The following is a 10,600-nucleotide window of genomic DNA, read 5'->3' on the forward strand; positions in this document are numbered from 1 at the left end:
GTCTTCCAGGAGCCCCCGGGCATGGGTATGAGGGCATCTTTCTCTTCGCTCAGACATGGAGCTTCCTGGGAAGAGGACCTGCACCTGGCTTCCTTTTGGGTCTCAGGTTGGAGAGGAGGATGGACAAATGGAAGGTGTGTCTTTCTACTAGTCTCTTTTGCTCCTCCTTTGCCGCCTCTCCTCTCACCCTTTATAACATTCATTTTCTTTTGAGACAGGGTCTTGCTCTGTTGCCCAGGCTGGAGCGCAGTGGCACAATCATAGCTCACTGCAGCCTCTAACTCCTGGGCTCAAGCGATCCTCCCACTTCAGCCTCCTGAGTAACTGGGACTACAGGTATGTGTCACTATGCCCAGCTAATTTTTTTGAAGCAAAATTTGTATCATTTTAATTATTTTTATGTACAGAAAACTCAACAGTGTACATTTAACCCAGTTTAGTGGCAAGTTCTTTAGCGTTTACCTTTTTGAGCTTGGCGATGCGAGCCACAGACTCGGGACCCAGGACATTGCCTCCCCAGTGATGGTGGATCTCATTGTATCTCTCATTGTAATTGGTCCTTATACCTTCCACCAGCTTAGCCAAAGCACTTTTGTCTTCCCAGTTAACCTGTGTGAAGGCGACAGTGGCACAGGTCTTCCTGTGGACTAGACGCCCCAGTCTTGCCTTCCCCTTGATAATGCAGTAAGGGACTCCCATTTTATGACACAGGGCAGGCAAGAAGACAACCAGCTTGATGGAATCCACATCGTGTGCAGTCACCACCAGCTGAGCTTTCTTATTCTCCACCAAGGTGGTGACTGGGTGTTAACTCCTGCTTGAAGGACAGGTAGTCTCTTAGTGGAGATGTCCCCTTTGCCAGCAGTTTTCTCCTCGGCCTGGGCCAAGAGCCTCTGCTTCTTCTCTTGCTTTGTCTCTGGTCTGTACTTGTGGGCCAGCTCAAGCAGCTGAGTAGCAGTTTGGCGGTCCAGGGCCTGGGTGAACTGGTTAATTGCAGGAGGCACTTTCAGCCGTTTATAGAGGAAGGCTCTCTGATGCTGCAACTTGATATAGCGGGGCCATTTCACAAAACGGGTGAGGTCTCTTTTGGGCTGGATGTCCTGTCCAACACCAAAATTCTTAGGCCTTTTCTCAAACAGGGGATTCACCACTTTCTTGGCCTCCTGCTTCTTCACGACAGCAGGGGCTGGAGCCACCTTCATCCCCCGGCCTTCTTTCCTTTCGGCATCTTGGGCGGCGGGAGGAGAGAGTACACCCAGCTGATTTTTAAAATTTTTTTTGTAGAGACGAGGTCATGCTATGTTGTCCAGGCTGGTCTTGAACTCCTGGCCCTCAAGTGATCCTCCTGTCTCAGCCTCCCAAAGTGCTGGGACCACAGGGGCATGAGCCACAGCACCTGGCTGTAAAATTAATTTTTAATTACACAAGTCATTCACGGACCCACTGTCTTTGTAAAAAACAAAAATCAAAGTGTTGTACATAAGACTGGTGTTCTTGTCCACTTCCCATCCCATCTAGCCCAGGGTACAAATACTGCTCCCCCGAAGTAATCTCAGTATTGATTTGGGAGAATCATTCCACTCTCTGTATATGATATTTTCTCACGAAAAAAGGCAAGTCCTGTGGGTGGTGCTGGCTTTGGTTTTGATGTCAAATGAGAATCATATTGAACCAGGCACACCTGCTCTGTGGTGGGCTTTTCTGCACAACAGCGGATCACAGATGGCTTCCAGGACTCAGAATCTCTGCTGCATGGTAGTGCGGAGGCCAGGTGAATGGTGGTTGATGCCACTCTGTGGATGGGCATGTAGCTGCTTCCCCATGATCACTATTACAGACGAGCTAGCTGCAAACACCCCGGCCCAGCCTGCCCCCATCCCTCTGCATGCACAGTGCTCGCTGAGCTCCAGGCTATGATCTGTTATGTCCTCCCCTCTCCTTCTCGACTCCATCTCCTCCTCCTGTCCTCCAAGGTCAGGCCCCACTCCTTGTCCTGGTCCCACTCTTCTGGCTGACACCGCTATCCCTCACTTGCCATCCGAACTCTGCCCTCAAATGCAGAATCAGACTTGAAACCAATATGGACCCAGAGCTTCTCACCCACAAGTCATCTTCACATTCCAACCCATCACCTCCCAGGGCCAGCCACACACTTCCTGGTCTCAGCACTGAGCATCACCACCTGCCAGGAGTTATCTCAGCTGCCAGGAGTTATCTCTGACACCTCCCTCTCCTGTCACCCATGGCACATCTGTCTCCCCTTCCTGCTGCTGAATCTTCCTCCAAGGGGCTGTTCAAGACCCTAACCCAACGCCTCAGCCCTGGCCACAGCAGGCCTTAGCATCTCATGCCTGGACCATAGGCCTGTGTAACTACTTCTTCCATTCATCCACCCACACATCCATCTATTTTCCTTCCTTCCTTCCTTTCTTCCTTCCTTCCTTCCTTCCTTCTTCCCTCCTTTCTTTCCTTCCTTCCTTCCTTCTTCCCTCCTTTCTTTCCATCCTTCCTCCCATTCATTTTTACGTATCCATCCATCATTTCTATCCATCTACCCATCCATTCATCTATCCACCCATTCATCTATCCATCCATCCATCATCCACCCATCCATCGTCTACCCATCTATCACCCACCCATTCACCCATCCATCCATCCAACAAGCATACACTGAACACCTACTGGATGTTCTGCTGAACAAAACACACAGCTCCCAGAGCCCAGGAGACATCCTGGTGCATCTGTGTCCATGAGGAAGCAGACTCATCATCTGCAATGAAAATATGGGGTGATAGGTGCCACCCATGTGTTTGTGTCACTGTGCCTCACAGTGTGTGTGGTGTGTGAAAGGGAGAGATGTCCACGTCTCTGGGCCCACGCTAGATCTCTCTGCTGAAGCAGCACGCTTTCAACCATGCACCCCACTGAAGACCCTGCCAACAGCATTGACTCACTAAGTCCTCCACAGGCTCTGTGTTTTCCCCGTTTTCCCAAATCCAGGACTGAAAACAGGCAGGCCCCATGCCCTCTGCCTGCCTCCCACTTCCAGCCCAGGGCCACTTCCTCCTCTAAGGGCTCTCTCCCATCTTCTCCTCTGATCCTCTCTGTGCTCCCAGGCAGTGCCTTTGCCCTGGCAACAGCTGTCCCCTCCCGTAGACCCTCTCCTGCGCTGTTTCAGCAGGTGGGCAAGCTCACCCCACTCCTACCCAGGAGTCCTTCCTTCTCCCTTGACCTGTTCCCTTCTTCCTCCTATGCCTTCTTTCCTCCCAGACCAGCCGGGTGGGAACTCTCATCCCTGGATGTGGCCACTCCCTCCCTCCCATCCTGCACACCCCTGCAGCTGCTCTGTACCTGCCAATGGGGAGAAAAGAGGCCTCCAAACCCCACAGCCCATTTTCTCTCCATTGATGGCCTCTGATGCTGGGGGTCTCTCCTGGCTTCTCAGCCCCTTTCTTTCCTTGATTCTACCTCTCGGGCCACCCTTCTCCTGTTTCCTCTGCAGCCTCCTTGGCTTCCATCAGCCCTCTGTGTCCATGTCCCCAGGGCCCCATCTTCCCTCTCCCTGTGCTCTGCCCCCCAGGCAGCCTTCCCTAGAGCCTGTGTGACCATCCTCATGCTGACCTCATCCAGCATCTCCCCTCTCATCCTGCAGCTGTGCTGAGCAGGGTCATGGGAGGCCCTGGGAAGCCCCCTGTCCTCCTCAAAAGAGTCCTTGCTAAGCTCTTCCTGGGGGCCCCTGACCTATTGGGCGAGGATTCTGTGTCCGGAGCACCCAGATATATGTGTGTTGGGCAACTTTCCCCACCCCCAGGCTGTGAGCACCTTGAGGGAAGGACCTGCATCTGATTTGTCTTTGCTGAATGGCTATGACTATGGCAGAGGCCGGAGGGACAGACGAACTGAGGACAGACGGACTGAGGAGAGCGCTCCTTCCTCCTCACTCTCGTGTTCCCTTTTTTCCTTCCATTTTCTTCCTCTCCTAATTAAAAAATTAGTTTTTAATTATGTGTGGTACATGAAGCAATTATTTTTGCACAAAATTTTAAAAATTTTTTGTGCTTTCACAAAATTAAAGCATGACAAAAGGCTGAAGTCTCTTCTCTCTCCCTCCCGCTTCCCACCTCCAATTCCCCCAAAAAGGGGAACCTCTGTGGCCAGTTCTGTGTGACCCTGTCCACACAGCCTATATGTGTCCTCTCATCTAAATAAAACAGAGCTGCATTTGGTGGTGGTGGGGTGTTGTTTAAAATATAAATACCATTTACTCTGTGTAAATTTTGCCAATAGCTTTGTCTGTCCAGTGATGAGTCTTCGAGTTCTTTCCACGAACATGTGGGTGCACCGTCATTGGTGTGCAAGAGCCAAAGTGGGCACCTCTTCCTCATCCTGCTCAGCGATGGCACGATGCTAGCCTGAAATTGGCCATGGTGGTAGTATTTACACTACAGAAGCGGGCACAAGCAACCCATAGGGAACATTCTCCCCAGAGGGCCAGTGTGCAAGCATACCCCAGGATGCACCCTGTTTCACAGATCTGGGTCTTTCGGGAGAGAGCTGCACTGTGGGTGACCAGCTCTCCTGTGGATGGACATGGGTGTTTTCCCCTTTTCACCATGACAGATAATGTCACCACAACCTTATCTGTCACCGATTCCTCTTCTGCCTTGCCCTCTGCTGGGTTCTGGTGTGGTGGGGCGGTGGGGCGGAGGGGTCCTCAGAATTCGTCTACAGTATGTGGGTTCTTTTCTGTCTGTCCATGGAATGTGCTGCCTCTTCAGGTCTCTGGGAGTCTGTCTCTCTCCTTCCTTCCTTCATCTTTCCTCATCCTCTCCCTCGTTTCTTCTCCTCCTCTCCAGATTTGGCCCTTGCCCCAAGGGTCACGATCTGTGGCTGCTTCTGTGTGGAGGTGTGGGTCCCACTGTGCACCCCTCTATTTAGGCCCTTTGTCAGGCTTGTCCTCCCCCGTCTTTCCCTCCTCTTCCATGTGCACGCATCTCTGCATCTGCCTGCGTCTCAGCTCCCCGAGGGTCCTGCCGCCCCCTCTTCATTTCATTTTTTAACTTTATTATTGATGTGCCCCGCCAACACTGCCTCTTCCTGCATCTTGCTCAGCCTCGCTCCCTCTCGCTCTCCAGAGGAGGCTTATTGGATTTTGCTTCAAGTCTGTGCGTCATTCCTGCTCTGTGCATGTGTGCGCACATGTTCGTGCGTGTGTGTGCCTACCACTTTCCCCGTCAGCTCCCTCTCTCTCTTTCTGGGGCTTGGAGAGTTTTACTCTATGTGTGTGTGCACAGGTGCACATGTGTGTGAGTCACTTCTCTGTAAGGTATGGTCAGGGCTGGGTCCCACCCTCCCTGTCACTCTCATGAACTCCATCTATCCACAACATGCCTGGTGAGCTCTGGACCAAGGTTTGTCCATCTGTCCTCTCCTGTTCTCTTCTTTCCCTCCTCTTGCGCTGCACCTGCCCTCTGCACAAGAGGTGCCCCTTATGCACCTTGGGCATAGAGGCCTCTGTAAGGACATCCCCCAATCTCCTTCTGCGTCTGAAAATCACCCACCTTCATTCTCTGTTGCATGCCACAGATTTGGGGCCAGTGTTGACTGGGGCCCTCCAGAGGTACCTCAAACTCATCTAATCATCTCTGCACTACAAACTGGCCCCTTTCCTGTTCTCATTAACACTGAATGTCAGTGCCTTCCTCGGTGTGGTGCTGCAGCCAGGAGCCCTGCATCGTCTCTGACTACTCCTGTTTAGCCACCCACAGCCCATCTGTTCCCCCTCCCTGCCAACTCTTTCTCCGAGGGGCTGCTAAAGGCCCCCATTCTCTCAGTCCCTGCTGCAGCATCGTGTGGAGATGAGGGGATAATTGTCTTCCTTTGTCCATCCATTCATCCATCCATCCATCCATGCATGCATTCATCCAACCATCCATCCATCCATCCATCCATCCATCCATCCATCCATGCATCCATCCATCCATCCATCCATCCATCCATCCATCCATCCATCCATCCATGCATCCATCCATCCATCCATCCATCCATCCATCCATCCATCCATGCATCCATCCATCTATGCATCCATCCATCCATCCATCCATCCATCCATCCATCCATCCATCCATACATCTACCCACCCATCCATACATGCATCCCTCCATCCATCCATCCACCCATCCACCCTTCCATCCATACATCTACCCATCCATCCATCCATCCATCCACCCATTCCTCCATCCATCTGTTCATTCATCCATTCATTCAGCCATCCATCTGCCCATCCACCCATTCACCCACCTATCCATCCACCCATCCATACATATGTCCACCCACCCATTCATCTGCCTACTCTTTCATCCATCCATCCATCTATATATCCATCCATCCATCCCTCCCTCCTACCACCTGACATACATTGAGCACCTGAGTGCTCTGTTGAAGACAAAGACTCCAAAACCCCGGGCTGTGTTCTAAGGAGTCCAGGGGGAGAGAGGACCAGTTACCACCCATGGGAAGATGGGGTGATAGGGACTTTGGAAGTCTCCAAGCATCACCGTGTGTGTTCTTGCATGTGCATATATGCATGTGTTTGCTCTGTCTTGGCCACTTTCTCAGACCCTTCTCTTTCCTCCTGATCTCTACTATCAGTGCTCCCCAGGGCTGTGTCCTCACCCCTCTGCCCTTGTCCTTCCATGGGCCATACTATCCACACCAGGGCTTCAGAGGTCCCTGCACACAAACTCCTCTGCATTTCTGTGCTCATCTCCCCTCTCCCAGACCTGTATACTCACTGTCCTGTCCTCAGCCCCACTCAGTCATACTCCCAGCATCATACACTCCCCAGGCTCCAAACAACCTCCCTCCTCTCCAGGCTTCATCTTATGCTCTCATCCTCCATCTCCAGGGACAGAAATCCAGGCTTCCCCTTCTCCCCACCTCCTTCCTTTAAACTTGTGCTGACTCTTTCTCCCAAATCTCCCATCTCCTCCTTTGCTCCTTTCATCCCATGGCCAGCATGGTTGCCCTGGTGACAGCCATCCTCTTCCCTCCTTCTGAGTCTGCTTTCCAGCATGAGAGATGTGTTCTGGTGACCTGTTCCTCCCATGCTCTGTCTTCTCTCTCTGTCCATCTGCAGAAAATCTGGGAAAGGGACCCTTGGCTTTACTTGCTTCCATTCCCAGCCCACGCATACCCCATCCTTGGCAAGGGACCTCAGCCACATTGAGCCCACCATGGTTCTCAAGAGAGCTCTCCATAGACCTCCTTCTTGCCAAAGCCCATGGTCCCTTTTTCCTCCTCATTTCTCCTGGCCCATTGGGGTCCTGATTGGGGTGCCCATCCTTGCTTGGGAGGCCACTGTCTCCTCCTTCAGGACACTGGGTGCTCCTGGCTTTTCTCCCACCCATTGGGCAGTTTCTCTCTTCCATCCACCTCTCAATACTGATGCTTCCCAGAGCTCAGTCCTCCACCGCTTCCTGCCCTGCCCGTTCCCCAAGGGCAGCTTCCTCCACCCCCAGGACATCTGTGGCCACCCATTGTCCTTCTTGGACATAGAGCTCTCTCCTGAACTGGGACTTGCACATCCATGTACCTGAACACAGGACTAGACACTTCCCTGCCCTTCCCACACTGCTCTTCTTTTCTCCAACCTCCTCACCTGCCCAGCTCCCCATCCTCAGCACAAGTAGACCAAGTCTCAGGCACTTTCTTGACTCCTTCTGACCACATCCAGTCCCACCATAGGGCTGTGCCTCCAGCACACCACCACCATCCCATCTGGGTGTCAGCTCCCAGGGCCTCCCGGGTTTCCCATCTCCAGCCTTGCCCCTTCCTGTCTACACTTGGTGAGGCCACCCAAGCCACCTTTCTAAATCTCCCACTTGGCAGCTCACCCTTCACTGGCCTAACCCCACTAAGCCAGCTTCCCCACCTCCCCACCCTCCTGATAAACTTCAAGCCAATTTTTCCTGCTTTAAGGCTCTGGGCAAGGCCAAACCCTCACACTCTTGGTGACTTATCCTTCTGCCCTGTCTCCAGTCACAAGGAACCTCTTGCAGTGCAGAAAGACTCACCCTCTCCCCACCTTCTGGCCTTTGCTCAAGCTGCCCTTGGCAGGAACGCCTCTCACCTGTCTGCCTGGCACACAGCAAGGCTTCTCTTGGCTCAGGCACTTCATCCTCCCTGATGAAGTCCCAGGGCCTCTCCCCTGAAAGCCCCCATAGCATCACAGGATCACACCCCTGGGAACAGCCAGGCACATGCATGTGTTTGGGGGGATCTTTCCCGCCAGACCACGGGCATCTTGAGAGCCTGCATCTGAGTTCTCTCTGAGTGTCAGCACAGAGGAAGGCTGAGGAATGTCTGAAGCTGGAGGAACTTCAAGTTGAAAAAAAACACTAAAATTTCAGGAAGGAAGGACTAAAGTCTCCTTTGAAACCTCCTCCCAAATCCTGATTTCTACTTATTTTCCCACATGGATCCTCAGTTATTAGACTGATGTGAATTATACTGGTAGCTAGCTAGCTAGATGATTGATAGGAAGGAAAAAGGAAGGAAGGAAGGAAGGAAAGAAGAGAAAACTTGTTCTATTATTGTTGGTTTGGTTATTGTTGTTTGAACATAAATACTACACACTGTGCATGTGATTTGGCAGTGGCCTTCCTCATTCAGCAATGTGTCTTGGGTCTGCTTCCATGTCAGAGTTTAGGTGCATCACATTCTTTTATCAGATGCACAATGGCCGAGCTGGCTTCCTCCTGCCGATGAGCATGTTGGTGTCCCTGCTCTTTTGGTGAGGTGGTAGCAGCTTCTGTGCATGGCCTCTTTCTGTGTCTCACTCTAGGGTCCCCAGTGTGTGATCAGGCTGCCGTGTGCCTGCTTGTCTGTCTGTCTGTGTGTGCACACATCTGCCTCTTTGCCTCTCTGAATCTCTCTCCTTCCTTTTCCCATTCTCTCTCATTATTCCATATTCCCTCTAGATTTGGTCCCCATGTTGCAACACAACTGTGTTTGTGTGTCTCACCCTGGGTCACATCTGTGGGTTCCTCTTTACTTGGAGCCTTTTCTCCTTCTGATTCTCATTCACTTGGTGACTTCTCACCCCTGTGCATCCACTTGCTCTGCCATCCATTCATCCACCCACTTTGGACATTGAGCATCTTCCAGGAGCTGGACAGCTCCCATACGTGAGTCAGTGTGTGTGCCCCCTCTGTGTACTGCCCCTGGGTCTCTGCCTGTCTGTGGGCCTGTCTCTCCGAGCCCCCTTCTCCCACCCCTGCCTTCATCCTCCTCAGCTGCACTTCCTTCTGCTCTCCAGAGGAAACTTATGGAATTTGCTCTGTCCACGCATCATTCCTGCTGTGTGTGTGTGTACTTGTGTGTACGTGTAAGTGGGTCATCTCTTTCTGAGGCATGGTCAGGGTTGGCTTCCACTCTCTGTCACTCTCATGGACATTTCATCTGCTTGCCTCTCCATCCAGCCATCTGTAGCATGCTCAGCTAACTCTGGGGCAGGGTCTTCCTGTCTGGTCTGTCTTCCTTTCCTTCTCTTTCTCTCACTCCTCACACACTCCCCGGATGAACTCATCCCCTGCCCTCTGTGCTGACATCTCCCTAACTGCTCCTGCAACCAAGACTCCCCACCTTTTTCTCTTCTTCGCAAGCCACTAGATTCCTCCCCAGGAGAATCCAACCCATTGCATCATCTTCACACCCTGAGATGTGTTTCTCTTCCAGTTCGCATTAGCACTGAGCCCCGCTGCCTGCCTCAGGCTGCAGTGGGAGACTGAGCCATCTCTAACTCCTTCTGCTGCCCACGGCACATCTGTCCCACTTCCTGCCAAGTCTCTTTCCAAGGGACCACTCTGAGACCCTTCTAACCCCAATCCCTTCAGCCCCTCTCTCTGGCCAGGCCCCAGCATCCTGTGCTTGGACAACTGAAGAGGCTTCCTCCTTTGTTGTCCATCCTCCACTCCCACCCCCTCTTCATCCTCCATTAACCTCTGGAAGAATCATGAATCACCTTTGCTTAAATCCTCCCATAGCTTCCATGTCACTCACAGTAAAAGTTAATATTCTCACCATGGCCCACAGGCCTTACCCAGTCTATTTCCTGTTACCTCTCTCCTTTCATCTCCCACTCCTTTCCCCCTTGCTCATGTTGCTCCAGCCACATGGGCTTCCTTGGTGTTCCTTGAGCAGACAGACACCAGGGCTGTCACCTATGGTTGTTCATGGCATGAGGGCACCTGGCAGAGGATGTCAGTGGAGGACAAAACCCAGCCCTTGTTCTGTTCTCCAAGCCATGAGCCCTGGTTTGGGGTTGCCTCTGCTTAGAAGAAAGATTGTCTATTTCTTTTAAATATATAGATAGAAAAGACCTTTAGCATTCTTGCTTACTTGTTTCATTATCTGTTATTTTGGGATCTGTTTCTATTTACTGATTTTTCTCCTAGTTATGAGCTACAATTTTTGGTTCTTGGCCTGTCTAGGAATTTTTGATTGGATGCTGGACATTGTAAATGTTACACTATTGATGGTCTGGAATTGTGTTGTCTTCTGTTAAAGAGTGGCATGCAGTTAAATTACTTGCTAATTA

The 10,600-nt window shown here is 51.8% G+C and overlaps 1 pseudogene; it reads right to left on the reverse strand.

Annotated features, from left to right (window-relative positions):
- Positions 367-1,250, reverse strand: RPL7AP14 (ribosomal protein L7a pseudogene 14; annotated as a pseudogene).

Source organism: Homo sapiens, chromosome 20 (genome assembly GCF_000001405.40).
Source record: "Homo sapiens chromosome 20, GRCh38.p14 Primary Assembly".
In the NCBI taxonomy this organism is placed as follows: Eukaryota; Metazoa; Chordata; class Mammalia; order Primates; family Hominidae; genus Homo; species Homo sapiens.